This window comes from Homo sapiens, chromosome 12 (assembly GCF_000001405.40).
Source record: "Homo sapiens chromosome 12, GRCh38.p14 Primary Assembly".
Taxonomy (NCBI): domain Eukaryota; kingdom Metazoa; phylum Chordata; class Mammalia; order Primates; family Hominidae; genus Homo; species Homo sapiens.
The window spans coordinates 80713304-80732051 of NC_000012.12; the positions used below are offsets into that span (position 1 = coordinate 80713304).

Below are 18748 nucleotides of genomic sequence, written 5' to 3' on the forward strand. Positions count from 1 at the left end.
ATAATGCAGAAAGCCTAGGGTGGGCAAAATTTATTAGAAGAAGAAGGTATGAGCATCATTTTGCTGGTGTGATCTGTCCATCAATATTAGTGTGTTGCCATAATGCTTAAACTAACACAGATTTCACTTAAAAAAAAAGTTGATGTTACGTAAAGGTCATTGCAGTTAGAACCTGGTTATAATTCTAAATTGTAAGAAAATCAAATGTATTTATTTTTTCAGAATATAAAATGAAATAAATAAATAAATAAATACTTCACCAGAGCCTTAGTGGGTATCCATTTATAGCACCAGAGGTGACTGGGTTTTCTTCCCCTCAACTACCTATGGTTAGACTTTCCTAGCAGACAGTGTTGGAGTGTCATTTCTAATAACCTGTTTACATATGAAATAAATGTGCGTTTTCTCCGCAAGCAAGAAATCCACTTCTTTGCAGAAATAGTGGAAAACTTATTTTCATTCTTTGTGTGAGGAGCAAAAGCCAATCTAATCCGACTTTGAGTACAAAAGGGTGCCCTGAGTAGATCTTTTCAGAGCCATTTTTAAAACTTTTCCCATGCTTCCCTGGCCAACCCACTCAAAAAAAAAAAATGCTTTTCTCTATGTTGCTCACCCAGTTCTTTCTTTTTCCCCTTCCAGGTCTCCCCTGGGAAAAGAGCAGGGAGACCGCTCCTGAATTGGGACACTGTAGCCATCTTTGTGGTGCTGGCTGCCTACTGTCTTAGCATATTGCCTTTTTTTTTTCTCTCTCTCTCTCTCTCTCTTTCTTCTCTCGCCCCTGACAGCGTTTTAAAAGTTTTGTCTTATTTCTTTTTACTTTGGTACTCTGAGATCCTATTTTCAGCACTTGCGTCCCAAGGGCTCTCAAGTCCGGACCCTGTTCTCCTGCTAGCAAGTCCCATTAAGCCGCCGGGCGCTTGTGTTTTCTCGGCTTCTTTAGTTCCACTCGCTCGCGGCACTCTGGTAACTTTGTTTTGAGATCACCTTACCAGAGACAGCTCTAACCTCTGAGAACTACCCTTACTGACAGAGGCTCCTGAGTGACGGCGTCTTCCCAGGCACAGGAGCCAGGGAAAGATGTTGAGTAGCCAGCTTTTGCGAGTTTCTGCTCTGGAGCCCTAAGGAAGCGCACGGAGCCTAAATTAATTGAAGAAGAAAACAAACAAAATCACCTCTAGGAGTAGGAACTATAATGACAGGATGCCTAGTTTCCAATCCTGTATGACCTTGGGGCAAATAACCTAGTCCCTGGAGCTCGAGTTTACTTTCTTTCTACAATGGGCCCAATAATAGCTCCCACAGGGTGGTTTGGAGTATTAATTGTTAAGTTAATCTAAGGAAAGGGTTGAGAACAGTGCGGGGCAAATAGAAAATTCTCAATAATTGTTAGTTAAAAATATTTCGCGCTGAGGGGCTTGAGTACAAATCACGTTAAGTGCTTTCAGAAATTAGCTGAAAGATGAGCAGAAGCGTAACCTCTAACTTTCACTCAAACTTTAAAGACCAAGTTTATTTGTGTCCAAAGCACAAGTCCGAGCTAATTTGTGGACTCCACAGCCAAAAAAATAAAAAAGTGGTCATATGGCTGCTAATAGAAACTGTGGGACTTGGCTGAGAATTCCTGGGGGAGGATATCTACCCACTATTGTATTTCAGAGGTAGCAATGTGCTTTGCATTTGCTGTGCATTTGAATGTTTCCACCAGCGTGGATGGCATCTTAGTTTCCACCTGGGTTCTTCTTGAACTTGCCTCTTTTTATCTGGCGTAGCCCTGGATACCGTATTCATTTCAAAGGCATAGACTTGTTAATAGCCCTAAAAAAGGTGCAGATGGATTTCCCACTGGTCAGATGATTAAGCAGCCCATTGGTGTGAGAGGGAACCTGATTTTCAGGAGAGATCTTTTTCTTAGAGATGACAGGACAGAAGAGAGGAGACAGCAATGGTGTGGCTAGCAAACCTTAGTGACTGACAGTGTCACTCTCCCACCTCTGGTTTTCAAGGTCTTCACTTTAGAGAGATCGCACCCTGAAAAGGTTGCTACTTCTCTGGCCCCTGAAGATGCTGGATCAATGAACCAGTGTTGCTTTAAGAAAATAATTCTGAAAAAAAAGTACAAAGTACCATTCACTGAAAGAAATAATAATAATAATAGGAAGGAAAACTCCCTCCTCCTCGCAATAACTTCGGAGCCACTATATTTATTGAACTGGGTTACCCTAGATTGAGTTGAGAACACTCCTGCTTCTTTCAACGGGGCCACAAGACCTAGTCCAAAACCCCAAGACTAATTGTGTAGACCTTAAGTAATTGCTTTTCCTAAATATAAACAGCACCTCCCCAACCCAAATAACCTGAAAGTGGATTAAGGTTGGAGGAGGATTGGTAAAAGCTGATTAATAGATTCATTCCCACTTAAATGACAACCCTCCCCTCTTGCCTTCTATCCATCGAAGTTCTAAAGACCCTGCTGTGATTGCTTTTCTGGAAGGCTTTTGTCACTGAAGTGTGTGAAGTTACTCCTGGTTTGAGGAGTTGGAAATTTTACACGAGTCAAGGATTGCAGTGGCGGCAGCTGGGACGCATCTGTAACGGTGTTAGTTTGCCTGAAAGCAGAAAATTAGCAACCCCAAAGCCCAGCTTGGCTGTTTAGTCTGTAGAAATGACAGGGCGGAGCAGAAAGAGAGGGAGAAAGGAGACTCACCCCTGGAAAGGGAGTTTGCCGTCGAAAACTGGGCTTCTTCTGTTGGAAATCTTAGAGACACTTTCAGTGCAGGTCTTTGGCCTGCTCAGGATCTAGGGAAGGCCTGGCACAAAGGAGAAGGTGCTCAACAAATACGTACAGAAGGGGAAAATGAAGGAAGCAAGAACGGGAGGAATGTTCCTGGTCACCTGGCCCTCCTGTGCCCCACCTCCTTTTAGATGAGCAGACATACAGGGAGAACTCAGAGCAAGCCCAGTCATGGGAAAAGGAACCTCCCTCCCTACTCTCAATAAGGTAGAGCCTAGAATAAATGACAATCTGAGCAAAACTTTACTCATCTGAAGCTATACAAAATAGATTTGGAAAGGCAAACCCTGTATTCACTCCAAGATTGAAAATGCCACTTCAAGTTTTTAGTAACCGTTATTCAATCCAATTGCTGGAAAAAGTTTTCGAGATAATTGAAGTTCATGAAAAAGAGAAACAAACACCCCCAAATCAGGTGATTCCTCACGCCCAGGATTGGGAGGGCAGGTCGGCTCTTGGTGCCAGCTGAAAGGGATTTCTATTTATTACCACTATTTTAAAATGTGTGTCCAATTGCAAAAAGTTGGACTGCCTTGGTCACTTTTGTGTGAAACACTCCTTAAGTGATCCCTTGTTTTAGCCTATCTAGAGAGTGCAAATGAGCAGGTTGGGGACCCACTGCCGCCCCAGCAGAAATACAGTAAAACCATTAGCGTCAAAAGGGGCAGTACACAGCAGATTGTCTGTAGAGGAAAGGCGGAGGTTTGTCCAGACAGCCCCCGCGGGGGTTGCGGTGGGATATGCTAATAGTGCCTGGCCACTGGGGCCGGCCTCCCTCCCGAAAGAATATATAAAGAACCCCAACCCCAGCTTGTCTACCCAGGCCAACAGGCGTCTGCCCTTGTTAATTACCGGAGCGACAGACTAGGGAGCTCCGCCCGGGATTTGCCCATCGGCGGAGGCGCCAGGCTCCCGTTTCTCCCCATCCCTCTCGCTGCCGTCCAGGTGCACCGCCTGCCTCTCAGCAGGATGGACGTGATGGATGGCTGCCAGTTCTCACCTTCTGAGTACTTCTACGACGGCTCCTGCATACCGTCCCCCGAGGGTGAATTTGGGGACGAGTTTGTGCCGCGAGTGGCTGCCTTCGGAGCGCACAAAGCAGAGCTGCAGGGCTCAGATGAGGACGAGCACGTGCGAGCGCCTACCGGCCACCACCAGGCTGGTCACTGCCTCATGTGGGCCTGCAAAGCCTGCAAGAGGAAGTCCACCACCATGGATCGGCGGAAGGCAGCCACTATGCGCGAGCGGAGGCGCCTGAAGAAGGTCAACCAGGCTTTCGAAACCCTCAAGAGGTGTACCACGACCAACCCCAACCAGAGGCTGCCCAAGGTGGAGATCCTCAGGAATGCCATCCGCTACATCGAGAGCCTGCAGGAGTTGCTGAGAGAGCAGGTGGAGAACTACTATAGCCTGCCGGGACAGAGCTGCTCGGAGCCCACCAGCCCCACCTCCAACTGCTCTGATGGCATGGTAAGCAATAGATCTGGTACCTGCTAGGCTACCCTAATCTTTTCTAAAGTCCTTACACCTCATTTAACCTGGTGTGGTGGGGAGAGTGGGGTGGAGGCAGATGCTGAGTTGCTTTAAAAGAAGAGAGGGGTCCACATTTAGAAAGACTCCCCAAACCGCTGCTGAACAAGATTTTAGTTTAACTTTCTAGCAGGTTCTAGGTGTACACTGTAATCGAGTGTTGACATGGAAGATGGGTGGCTGTGAATGATCACTCAGATGTTTTCTCCATTCCTGAATTTATTTTCAAAATATGCCATCTGTGGATCATGCCCTACGCTAATATCTAAAGGCACCGTTTCTAACTTAATGAGGAAATGGAAAGAAATACCCACACGGCCCCAGTTCCTGCTCCAATGAGGCCTGGCTGAAAGATGTTGATGCATTCTTTTTAGAGGGCGTTTGCTCCAAGGCTGCCAGGTTTTAATGTGTTTTTGCCCTGGGAAAGTGTTCTTTCCCTGAATTAGTGTGGCTTTCTTCTACTCCAATCCATTTTGCATGGTTAACCCAATGCACATTGCTGCTGAATTCCACCCCCTCTTCCCTTTGCTGCTGCTCTCCTCTTCTTCAAGCACAGAGATTGACCTCAGTGCCCTGGGAATTTGGAGAGGGCTAGCCCTTCCTAAATCAAGGCAGTGAAGGTGATTGACAGTGTTCGGTTACAGAGCTGGTGGGCAAGCACAGCCTCACCTTTGGTCAGAACATCTTTTGCCAAGACCTGAAAACAAACTTTGTTGTGTGTCTTGTATTATAGCCCGAATGTAACAGTCCTGTCTGGTCCAGAAAGAGCAGTACTTTTGACAGCATCTACTGTCCTGATGTATCAAATGGTAAGAATTGATAACTTCACAGGAGTTTAAAGACCAGTTCAACCTAACAATTCAGCCTATAAGATTCTGTTCTTGCTGATAGTATTGGGGAAGGGAGAATGGAAGTGATGGTTCTTATAGGGAGGCTTTGGTAAAGCAAAATAAACACATCTTCTGCTCCAAATCCCCCTAGCAGACACGCACGCACACATGCATACACACATGCACACACAATGTTGCTTGAAATATTATCAGGGGGCTTCCCCACTCCCCACGTCTACCCCTCAGGAATTGCCAGATATTTGTTGCAAATTTCTATGTTAGGCTTTCTGTGACCACCTGACCTCTGGGTGTCAGAGGAGCTGACCTACAATTTAAGGAGCAACATAAGCAAATCTGTCTATCTTGGGCTAATTATTTTTTAATGCTTTTCTCCTTGTATCCTTAGTATATGCCACAGATAAAAACTCCTTATCCAGCTTGGATTGCTTATCCAACATAGTGGACCGGATCACCTCCTCAGAGCAACCTGGGTTGCCTCTCCAGGATCTGGCTTCTCTCTCTCCAGTTGCCAGCACCGATTCACAGCCTGCAACTCCAGGGGCTTCTAGTTCCAGGCTTATCTATCATGTGCTATGAACTAATTTTCTGGTCTATATGACTTCTTCCAGGAGGGCCTAATACACAGGAAGAAGAAGGCTTCAAAAAGTCCCAAACCAAGACAACATGTACATAAAGATTTCTTTTCAGTTGTAAATTTGTAAAGATTACCTTGCCACTTTATAAGAAAGTGTATTTAACTAAAAAGTCATCATTGCAAATAATACTTTCTTCTTCTTTATTATTCTTTGCTTAGATATTAATACATAGTTCCAGTAATACTATTTCTGATAGGGGGCCATTGATTGAGGGTAGCTTGTTGCAATGCTTAACTTATATATACATATATATATATTATAAATATTGCTCATCAAAATGTCTCTGGTGTTTAGAGCTTTATTTTTTTCTTTAAAACATTAAAACAGCTGAGAATCAGTTAAATGGAATTTTAAATATATTTAACTATTTCTTTTCTCTTTAATCCTTTAGTTATATTGTATTAAATAAAAATATAATACTGCCTAATGTATATATTTTGATCTTTTCTTGTAAGAAATGTATCTTTTAAATGTAAGCACAAAATAGTACTTTGTGGATCATTTCAAGATATAAGAAATTTTGGAAATTCCACCATAAATAAAATTTTTTACTACAAGAAATATTTTGGCTCATGATCTTTTAAAATAACACCCCAATGGAATTACTGTTCATTGACATGAAATCTTTACATGTGAGCTGAAAATACTTAAACAGTTGGCTTTTCAGATAAGTCTGAATATTTACCATTCTCATGTACCCAGTTTAGGTCCTGTTGATGTCACAAGTGAAAATGTCATATTTTCATTTTAAATATATTTCAAGTGAACCTGCTAAATGAAACTTTTCCTTTATCTTAGAACTGTACCATATACTATCAAGTCGTTTGTGTGTGAAGGGAAGATAGAGGTTATTCAGGACAGTAACACATGCTTTTTTAAAAAAGACTATACAACATCACATCATTTTAATAACTATAGTACAACAGAAGGCATGAGTTAAATCATATTTACTTTTACTACCTGCCTGAAAATATCTTGATAATATATACTAATATTGTCAATAAAATATTTAAAGGTATTGGGCTGATTTTTTTTATATTGCTAGAGTGCCAACATAAGAAAACTTACACAAATTATACTGAAGTGAGACAGACTTGAGTTTTCTTCCTTCTTTTTACAGCCTTTTAAACTTTATTGTATTAATCATATCATGTATGCGTGTGTGTGCATGTGTGTATGTAAAACAGACTTGTCTCATATTCATCACCCTAAATCTCCTCTAGAAAGAACTGATATGAAAAAATTGAACAATTAAGTGGAAAATTAGGTTGAGACAATGATTGGGATAATTATCACAAGTTTACCATTGAGAGAGATTTTAAAAAGAGATTCTTAAAGTATCTAAAGTAGCTATTCACAGAGAACAAATATTGATAATTGTTTAATCCTCTTATATGTACATTGATTTAAAATTCCTAAGGATTTGTGGTTACATACATTAATTTAAAAAAAGCATACAGACTCTTTACTAGAGCTTGGCAATGCTACTGTTCTCAGGAAGGTTTCTCTTTCTCTCTGGTGTGATTTGCTCATGCTTATGCAGTCATGAAGCTTAAAGGAATGGGAATCATTCCATAAGGGAGGTATAAGGGCTGAGTTAAAAAATATGATGGCCACTGTCACTCTGTTAGCATCATGGCCTGACAGGGAACGCTGACTTTTAGCACACAGATATAAGTCTTTACTCATGATTTCAGAGTGTGAGGATTTTACATGAAAAGAATTCAAGAGGGCATGATAGAGATTTGTGTATATGTCCAACATAAGTCTGGGTTATCCACTTTTGTTAGAAACTGTGCTAGGTACATTTTCTCCTTTTGATACTTCTATGGAGACATTGGAGATTTGTTTTTAATAGGATCAGACAGGAAAAAAATTCAAATATTGGTTTAGTTTTTTAAACTTCAATTTTTAAACACATTACCATATTTTGTTTCATTTAATATAATTAAGCAGAAAATATGAAATTTTTGGTTCAAATGAATGAAAATTAAACTTTTTCAAATCAAATCTCAATTGCTTTATAACTTTGCAAGCATACCTAATATTCTCAATGAATATGATAATGATAATTTGAAGTAGTTAGAGCCTTTTCAGTGGTCTGGATATAATACAAGGGGTGGTTAATGTACAATTTAAAACAATATTCTCCATGCCATGTTGCTCAATTAATCTCATTTTCAATGTACTAACATTGAAGGCTGATGTCTGCTCAGCACAACACAGCATTTGCAGTCATACATACTTCTTTTTAGACAAGGGAACTTTGGAAATTGGTTTTCCAGTGGTTCAGATCCAGAAAGGTCTTATTTTCTTTTAAAAAGCAGGGAAAAAAAAGAAATGGAACTCACAAAAAGATCGAAGTAAGGATGGGATTTTGTCATCTATAAATCTCCTGCAGTGAACACTTGGGTTTCTGAGTTTGTATTAGCCCACTTCACCTCAGCTGGTGGAAAACATGCAGCAAACCAACAGTCAGATTTCTAAGAGCAACTAGGACAATATTCCCTTCCCCGTCTGCAAGCGTGATGGGGAAGAGGTTTTCAGGAAGTGAGAGTCAAAAGAGCCTCCTTTCCTCTCATGGCTGCAAAATGCATGTTCCCTGAGTTATATATGAAAACCGAGTCCAGCGAAGTTATGGAAATTTGTGTGTGTTATGTGGATGCAAGTTGTTATATATATCCAGGTGTTGTGTCTTGATCGTCCTTATTTTCTTCTCCTTTGAAAGATGCAAGTTACATAAAATTAGTAGCCATATTCTACCCATAAATTCCCCTTTAAGATGGCATTCTTAGGAACACTTAATCTGAGAGTGGTATTTCCTGAAATTCTCTCTTTGGAGTTATAACAGTTACTAGATTAAACTGGTAATTTAATTCTCTGACTTGAAGAAGTGGTATTTCTGGAAATGATATTAGAGTACGGCTATTTGTAACTTCAGAAAAACCCTGCTTGAATGGCAAAGTGCTCCTGAAAATATCACCACTGAATGTTCCTACATTGTCACAAAAAGCACAGGATATCACATTTATTTCCTTTAAGAATTTTAATTGTATATATTTTAGTTGACTAGTGAGTTGGTTTATGATAAAATCATAAAAGTGAACACCAAAATTATTGTAGGGTCAAAATATTATGAAAATAATCCTTTGTAAAGGGGAAGTTAGCCAAATCTTATCTCTGTTTATGGTACAAATTCACTTCATTACAGATTAATCAGAAAATAGCGATACAGCAGCAACTGGCAAATATTGAGTGCTGTGCTTATCATTATGCAAATAAGAAAACTGAGGTTTAAGGGGTTTAATAATTTGCCCAAGACATAGCTGGCTATTTGGGCTTCTTTACATGTGTTCCAGGAGGCTCAGGCAGAAGTTAGAAGTCTTCTTATGATGTAGCATTGGAAGTGCCAGAACATTATTCCTACTACATTCTTCTGGTCAAGCAAGTTACTAAGGCCAGCCCAGAATCCAAAAGAAGCAAATTAAACTCTATTTATCAGGGAAGGAAATAGCAGTAAATTTGCATACATAGTTAATACTACCACAATGACTACTATATACTTGCTGTCTTTATTTCCTCACCTTTTATCCATTCCACTGACTGTAATCAGGCTTCTGCCTTTATGACTGTCCATGATCACTGGTAACCTTCAAACCAGTGGACTGTTCCAGTCCTGGGTGAAGCTTATCCCTATAGGCGTGATGTCTTTCCTGATCTTCAGTCCTATATATCCAACTGTCTTCTTAAAGTCTCTCATAAGTCTCAATGGCACTTCCAACTCAATGTATTCCAAATTAAACTCATCATCTTTCCCTTCTCTCCCTACTTCTAAACCTGGCTCACTTACAGTGTTGACACTCTCTGTGAATGAACTTACCAGTTATTTAAACAAGAAATTTAGGACATATTCTTGGTATCTCAATCTCTCTTACTCTCTTGTCTAATTCATTACAAAATCCTATGAGTTTACTCTTTACCCTTAATTCAAACTATGGCTATCTCATTTCAGGGATATCATAAGATCCTGTTAACCTGTCCCTCCATAATTACTTTAAATCTTCCACTTCTGGTGATGGCATCCATATTTTTCTGTGGAGACTGTTCCTTTCCTCTTTTCAGTTCATGTTGTTCACAGTACCACCTGGCTCTAGAAGAGTGAGCAAGTCATTCTTCTCTTACCATGAGTATATCCTCTTCCTTGACCATAATTATTGTTTCATAGATTCACATGTGACCCAAGTTGTTTAGTAAGTGTCCATCCTGGGATATTTGTTGGAACTACAGAGAAAAGGAGGTTCTCTTTCTGCTGGGGTGATAATATATGAGATTTTTTTATCTTATGTATCAGGCTGCCAGCTGTCATCTCACCCCCAAAAAAGTAGATCCTGCCTAAAAATAAAGCAATACAGTAGAAAGCAGAACTGTGATGCAGATATTCCTGAAAACATCATTGAGCATCCAGATCCCCAAATGCTTGAATATCTGCTCTTGGCTACACTTTACAATTTAGGAGCCGACACATGGTCTTTTTTCGTAAACCAGTATGAGTGGGAATTTTGTTAACTGAAACAGAAATAATCTTGTATAATACCACTCTTTGATCTCTTCTGCCTATTACAGCTACAGCAATTGTCTCAGAATATTCATCTGATTATGTCAACCATTCTGTTTTCCCTCCCAGCTTATTGCATGCAGGGTAACAAAACAGCAGACTCATTAACATGACCCTCAAAGTTTTGTGTGTCAGTCTCCTATCCACCTCTCTAGCATTATCTCTTTCTTGTCAAGTCTCTACTCTCTCCACTCCAGCCACAGAAGTGACTTTTATCAGTCATCATATTCCTTTTGCCAAAGAGGTTTTATATATTCCATTATCTCTGTCTGAAACCTCTTCTCCCCTCTACTTCACCTGGTCAATACCCACCCATCTTTTAAACTGCAGCTCAGGCGTCAATCTAAGGCAAGTTTTCCCTGAACTCTCATACAGTATCAGGTACTCTTAGTCTATGCTCTCAAAGTACCATGTATCTTTTCTCTGTGTTATGTCTCATCATTAAAATTATGTATTAATTTTTGTGATGATTAACATTTGTTTCCTCCTTTATGAAAGCAAGAAGACCTGTTCTTTTCCAACTCTGTTGTCCCCTGGATTATAGTAGGAAATATTTACAGTTATGCATACATACATATAATATATATGTATATGTTATCCTACTATAGTAGGATAGATTGTGTGTGTGTGTATATGTGTATGTATGTATATATATAAAATAAATGAACTGACATTTCTGAAGCATTTTTTGTTGTGGAATGTACTTTCTTTTTTCAAAAATCTTCATAGGATTCCTTAACATCATTTTCTATTTTTCTACTGGTTCTCTTAGTTTTCTGTTTTATGTTAATTTCTTGCACTGACTTCTCTTACTCTGATTAATTGTTATATGTTTGTTTCTTAGGTTTCTGTTATGTGGACACCTCTCTTTTTGGTCTGCTGTAGTCCTTTCAATTCCCATAGCTTCACCTCCTATCTGTCTTTTATTGCAGAGATGTTTCTACTGTTGCCTCATTAATACTCTCTTCTTAAGGAAGCTACCCCACATGCAGCTTCTGTTTGGCCTGACTGGTCTTTTAAATAATAGTTAATCAGTGAACAATAGGCACCTGACCTGAGGGCAACCAATATATAGACTAAGCAATATTTATGAACTGCATAGTTTAATTCAAATATGTGCTTTGAGATAAACAGACTGTTTCACAGAGAAATAAATCATCGGTTAACAATGAGAATTAAATTGAAGTCATGATATGGATGGGCCTAGAGAGATTAGGATGGGTCATACACAGGCTGAAATTACAGGGGAATAGAAGAGGCCAGTGGAAAGTAGTGTAAGGTACATTCAGAGACAGAATAGGGCATAGTACCCACTAAGTGCCTACTATTGTCCTACTGAGGACTTGGGTAAAAGCTGAGGTTAAATCCCAGCTTTACCACTAATTAGCTGAGGGAACTTAGGTAAGTTGCTTAAATTCTCAAAAGCTGTTTCTCATTTATAAATGTGGATAATAGAACATAATAGAATATAAATCACAGGAATTGTGAATATTGCATGAGATAAAACATATAAAATGCTTAGCCTAGGGACTAATACATAACAAATATTTATCAAATAGTAATTCAAAAAGGAAAGTATAATGGGTTGAGGCTTAGAATAAAGACTCACAAACTCCTTATGTGGGACTCTTTGGAACTATCTTGATTCTCAAAATATCTTCCAGCTTTAGTAGCTATGGGCTCAAGTGGTTCCTTTTATTACTCCTCATGTCTCCTATATATGAAATAGCTTGAGTGGATCTGCAACTAAAAGAATCACATTAAAACATCTTCCAAATGCTCATCTGCAGGTTTCTCTACAGAGGGCCATTCATATTTTTAAATGGCCAACTAAACATTTCCCCCTTGGTGTCAATCTCAATATGGACAGAACTGAATTCTTCTTCTTATTCTACACATTTTATTTCATTGCGTGGCATCATTTGATGAAAGTTTTGGAATTATTTTAGATTCCTCCCTTTCCTCAAAGCAATTAGTTTAGTTTGCTGGGAACGTAAGGCAAAAGGGAATTGTAAAGGTAATAGTAGTAGTAGCAATAGAAACAAAACTGTATTTCTTCAGGAAGCATGATTTTTCACACTGTAACATTTGTAAAATCAGCCTGGGTTTTATGGTTTTTGCCTACATTTAATGAAATAGGACTTCTTTTTTAGGCAAAAAGTTGTTTCAAGTTGAACCTCTTATGATCAATGGGATTTTAGAGTCAAGGAAATGTGGTATTAAGATTAAGAAAAGAAATTTATCAAGGACAGTTATTAAACATTTCTTTTTTTACTAGAAACTGGGTTTGACATGTATTACTAATGTTGATCACTGGTTGATTAGAAAACTACCTCCATTCATAGAGTGACTACTATGACCTGGAAGTGTTTTTGGGTCTGATATGCATTATATATAAACAAGCATAAAAACAGCTCAGGTAATTGGGTATTACTGACTCCAGGCTACTGCAGGGTAAGGGGTTACACATAGAGAGTGTGTGTAACATGATCAAATACAAGTGGGGTTCTTATAACACTCCTATTACAGCTCTATGCAGCCACGAAAGTTCAGTGGAAACCTGAGGCAAGGCAAGTATTTTGAGCAAATAACTAAGATTTTGAAAAGGGTATTTTAGTATTCTGGTATTTTGGAATGAGGAGAGAATAGAGTCAGAAGGACTAATTAAGAGGATTTTGTAGTAGCGCATACATAAGGTGATGTTCTACATCCCTCGCTGAGTTGTACAACACAAGGGGGGTGCTCAATGAAAGTTGATGACTGATTGAACCACTGAGGTTCTGTCTGCCTGATGCCAGACATCTGGATATAAAGATTAAAATCCAGTCATCCAGATGTTAAGGTTACATGATATGTCACCATCAAACATTTAGAAACTTTTAACTGATTGACTGCCTTTTTTACTTTTCATCCAGATAAACAGCATTGAATTAACTCATCTGAGCATGTACCAATTACTATTCTTTTTTTTTCTTTTAACTAGGGAATGGTTAATCAGGTTGGCAATACTGATGAGTCACTAAAAAAGGAATGGTGGCATAACAAACAGGTAAATATGAAAATAAGCAAGAACAAGTAAATAATGAAGAAAGTGAAAGCTTCTTCTTATCAGAGATGCATTTTAAAGACTCTTTATTGTGGCTTCTCTTCTTTACAGATAAAAAATTTTCATCGGGTTGAGTGTTTCAACATTACAGCATTATACTTCTCTATGTAACTATTGTGTTTTCACATCAAAGCTAACTCTGAAAATATTTCACAGGCAATTAAATGTTAACACTTTCCTTCTGTTAACACTTTGTGTGCTCAGTTAAAATGTGATATAAAAAGTGAAGAACTGTAATCGCATATTCAGGTCACTAAAAGTAAATATTATTCTACTAAAGAACTATATTGTATGAATGATGTGTTTTAAGAATCCCAATTTTGATAAAACCATAGTGTTATAATCAAGTAATGGTGATAATGTAAAATAAATACATCTTTTTTTTTTAATTGAGATGAGGTCTCACCCTGTTGCCCAGGCTGGAGTGCAGTGGCATGATCATGGCTCATTGCAGCCTCCACCTCCTGCACTCAAGCGATCTTCCCACCTCAGCCTCCTGCGTAGCTGAGACCACAGGTCCATGTCACCATGCCCAGCTAATATCTTTGTTTTTGAAAAATGAATCCCCAAATTAAAGTATATATAATTTGAAAATAAGATCATTAATTTATCATTGAAGATAATGCTTTTTATTCAAACCAATTCTATGTCCAGATACTAAACTGACTTGTTAAGTGACAGTTCAAGTAAAACAACTAACTGGTTGTTTTGTATGCACTATGATAAAGAGATTGACTGTTTGGGGTTGGATATTCTTTTCTTGAAGAAATTACTGATTTTAAAGTTACTCTTTGTAATCATTTGTTTGTTTTTTTATTATCTGAATAGGGATAATCAGAGCTGGGAAGATGAGCTATCTACACAGGGAAGTGACAAGGAGAATTGAGATGATTTCTTGGGTCACTAAACCCAAAACTCCATTAACTTTAGTTAGTAACACATTTTGGAGGCAGAATTAGTTTGTGGCTAAAGAATATTAAGAGTATGGTTTTATATGTTTGCTTTTTTTTCTATTAGTTTATGCATTCCCTGAATGCAGAACTGGTCCCTCAATCCCTAGTACTTTGTCTTGATTCAGACACAAAAACGGTATAAAATAAATGTTAATTGAATAAATTTTTGTATTGTCATACAAATTTATACACATGAGTAAGATCTCTGTAGGAGGAATTTAAATTTCTTTCCATCTATACATGTAGATCAGAAAAGCCATCCTGTTTTAAATGTTATAATCTCTTTCAGAAAGACAGGATATATGATATGAGTAGTCCCATACAAATTTAGAATGAATTCAATATTAAAAAATGAATATCTTCTGCAAGGACAGCATCATTACAATCACAGATTTAATAATAGAGTTAGAAATAGTTGCATTAAAAAGTTTGTGAACAATTGAATGGCAGAAGTATTTTTTTAAATAAAGTTACATGAGGAATTTTGAAAGTCTTTCAGGCTTGCTAAGTTGGAGGGATAAATAGTCTTTAACATTGACATATTGCCAACTCAGGGCATCTAAAAGCCCTTTTTAAATTACATATAAACAAAAATCATTTCACCCACCTCTGGGCTGGAATGTGACAGCTGCTTAAAGTAAGCATAGCAACACTACACAACATTGTCAAACAGGATGAATGGGCTTAACTAATCAAAAATAGAGCATCAAAGTAAAACTGCTCAAATTAGATTTCTGGCCAGGACAGAAAGGTTAACTGTTCTGTACTGGTATAAAGTCCTTACGATCCTTGATGACTGCAGGATTCATGTCAGTATTGCCAATCAAATTCAAGATGTGATTTGACAACTTAAGAGTTTTTTAATATCACACTGGGGACTTTTTATGGTCTTTTGATCCAACATGAAGAATCTAGAAAGCAATACTTATGATAGCTAAGAGAATAAGCTTTGAAGAGTGACCCTGGTCAAGTCACAAGTTCTTGTTTTATAAATTAACCAATCTACTTTCCCTCCTGCACGTACAGTCCTCAATACCCACCTTCTCAAGATAGTTTTAGGATGAGTTATATATAATATGTACCATGCTCTGAAATCAGTTCCTAGTACAGAGAATGCACACCATACTTGGATCTGATTGTCTTTAATCTATTAATGATCAGCAGAATTCATATAAAACGCTGAGGGAAGGAGTTGTGAGAAATATTTTCCCATATACTAAATTTTTCTTAACCTAGGGATCTAAAAAATTGTTGGCTCAACTGATAGTCTGGTTTAATTTAAGATGCTTGAGCAATAGTGATAGACTAACTACCATAGCCAGAAGTTGTTCAGGCAGAACTAGAGAAAACATAAACATACTAATTTTCCCTTTTTTTATTCCTGCCTAAGCAATAAATACTTAATCAAAATTCAAAAATGAAGTTTCGAACTGTTTAGCAAATGCTAGGATTTCCAAGCAGATACTAATGTTCGTATGGAAATTTATAGATTGCTCTATTATAAAAGTTACTTAAATAAATTACCTAAAATAATTATTCATTTTATTTTTGGCTAATTTAAAGTTTTAATAAAATCTTATTTTAACAGCAGAGATTATATCTTCTTTACCCCATCTACCTTCTGAAATTTTGTCTTTATTTTTTGAATTATTAACTGAAGATTCTGTAATTTTAAAATGTTTTCACAATAAAAACTTAACTCTGGAATATCAGTAAATATGGGAGCATATAACACCTAAGTATGACTAAAACTATTTTCTAGTGATTCTTAGAGAAAAATATGCAAGTTATATTCTGAAATCATGTACTAGTGACTGGTATAAGTGTTCTACAATCATAGTATTCCTCAATCCATCTAGGTTCAAATGCCTACTCCTGCATAAGTGATAAGATCAGTTTTAATTCTTGCTAGAGTGTAGTAGGCAAAGCCATACTTTTTAAAACCAACGTGTAACAAAACAGAGTGCTGTGTCAAGACTTCTCACTCACTGAAGTTATAATACGTAGGATTCTGTTAGTCTAGTCCTCTCCGGAGGTTAATTCTTAAAATTGCAGCTATTAAGTTTCATGTGTTATATTTACTGTGGAATTTGAAAACATTGACAAAGGGTTGAGCATCTCTGGTATGTCCATTCTAGCTTTGCTTAATGAGCCACATCACTTGCTGATAAGTTATATGAAAGACTTCTATTTTTATGGGGTTTTCTTTACTACTTTACGTATTTGCTTCCAGTAAATGTTCAGCGAAAAGTAATGACATTCTATAGGATTCTACAAATACTATAATGTACCACTTGTACTATTTATTTCCAGTTATCAACATACAAAGAAAGACAGTATACATTTGGATGAGGGAATTATAGATATATTAATAATTGCCCCACTGTTTTTAATTTTTTTCCAAGTCTTCTAAACGGATATTTTAATAATGGAAACAAAACAGTTTCACAGAAAAGTATATAAACTCTCCTTCTATGGACATTTTCCAATCTGTAATTTCCTTTTCAGTTAGTCAACTTTTGAAAGCAGCCCTAATGTTTCATGTGCTGTTTGCGCATGGGTACGTTGAATCTCATTAGATTTGACTGAAAGACAGAAGGATAAGTTGGGGTAGAAGAGAGATATCTAGAGGGTGGACATTGGGATGCTTACCAGTCTTACTAAAACCCCACTGAGATCATACAGAACCCTGGCAAAAAGCTTTGTGATAGATAATTGGAGTGTATCTCTTTACCCAATTCCCCAGTGATCACTCAGACCACTCCCTACAGATTTGCTCTTCCCCAAAGGTACTATTTATACTCAGGCAATCTCTGACAAAGACCATGCTAATTTAAAGATAGAAAAGTATTAATTTCAATCACAGAATTTATTCCAAGTCTATTTTAAGGTCAAGAATAGATACTGATAATTGTGACAATAACTCTGCTTTTCACTAGCCTTGCAATGGAACTATTAGTTTTAGTTTACTGCAGTATAGTAGCTTATTTTAAACCCCTTTCCAGAATTTGTATTAATTTTTGCAATTATACAATGTCTCACTTATATATTCAAAAATCTAGTCAAAATTCAAATGTGGGTTTATTATCTAGTCTTTTTTTTTCCAGTGAACAGAGACATCTCCTCCTGAAAAAATTAACAGATACTTAAAGAAATTTGGAGAACATGTCAGAAGTTCTAGGAAAAGACTAGTCTTTTCTGAAGGCTAGCAATGAATCACTTGGAAAGTTTCATAATACCTACAAAAAAAATGATATACACTTCATGTAAATTTTTCTAATAGATTTACAGAAAAATTCTTTCCAATGAAAATGGTAAGGCTGGGCATGGAAACTCATGTCTGTAATCCCAGCACTTTGGGAGGCCAAAGCAGGCAGATCACTTGAGTCCAGAAGTTCAAGACCAGCCTGGGCAATATGGTGAAACCTCATCTCTGCTAAAAAATACAAAAAATTAGCCAGGCATGGTGGCACATACTTGTAGTCCCAGCTACTCAGGAGGCCTTGAGGATCACTTGAGCCTGGACTGTTGAGGCTGGAGTGAGCCAAGGTCATGCCTCTGCACTCCAGCCTGCTGGGTGACAAAGTAAGACCCTGTCTAAGAAAGAAGAAGAAGAAGAAGAGGAAGAGGAAGAGGCTCAAAAAAAGAAGCTCAATGAATAAAATGTTTTGGTGAGACCCTGCTAAGTTAGAAAATTAGAATATAGGAAATTGTTGGGAATGAGATTTTGTGGCTTCCATAGTAAGTCTGGCCAGAGGAGAAAAAGAGACAGAGAGGTTACCTGGAATACATTTCTCCATTCCTTCCCTCTCCCTCCAAATCCTTTTCTAGGTTTTTGCTCTTGTTTTTATTATAGTGGCATATACCTTCATATTTCAAATATCCTCCCAGAGAATTCTGAATCCCAAATAACTGTGAGTAATGCCTGTAATGCTTGCCTTCTAAAGGATTTAACCTAGGCTGCATAGTTTATAGCTGATAAACTGGGAGTCAATCTTTCACTGCAATGATGTATTCGCTGCACTAAGAATCATTTCCATTGTAAATTAATTCTTGAAATGTTGGGTCATAAATGTCATCAGTATCATTACCTAGTCCACTCCCAGAAGCAGCGACTCTGTCAGTTTGCTGCAGGTGTTGGCTTCTAAAAGGAAGGTGCTCCAAACAAAACGCATTAAACCATGACTCCATTCTTAAGGGCAACTCCTTTCAAATGCCTTTTTACTTTATGCTGCTTGGCGGAGAGATTAATGGATGCCATTTCTGA

General features: G+C 37.8%; 1 protein-coding gene across 1 annotated transcript; it reads left to right on the forward strand.

The window, feature by feature from the left end:
• Positions 1-3608: 3608 nt before the first annotated feature.
• On the forward strand, positions 3609-6368 carry MYF5 (myogenic factor 5). The gene is made up of 3 exons (NM_005593.3): positions 3609-4261; positions 5055-5130; positions 5558-6368. Exons 1-3 carry the CDS (start codon positions 3761-3763, stop codon positions 5746-5748), a joined length of 768 nt encoding a protein of 255 aa, NP_005584.2. The 5' UTR covers positions 3609-3760; the 3' UTR covers positions 5749-6368.
• Positions 6369-18748: the final 12380 nt, after the last annotated feature.

What these genes read in the sequence shown, in the direction of transcription:
- MYF5 (NM_005593.3), top strand. Translation starts at nt 3,761, where the DNA reads ATGGACGTGATGGATGGCTGCCAGTTCTCACCTTCTGAGTACTTCTAC. An exon ending in CCAACTGCTCTGATGGCATG is followed by an intron (nt 4,262 to 5,054) that starts GTAAGCAATAGA and finishes CTTGTATTATAG; the next exon opens with CCCGAATGTAACAGTCCTGT. An exon ending in CTGTCCTGATGTATCAAATG is followed by an intron (nt 5,131 to 5,557) that starts GTAAGAATTGAT and finishes TTGTATCCTTAG; the next exon opens with TATATGCCACAGATAAAAAC.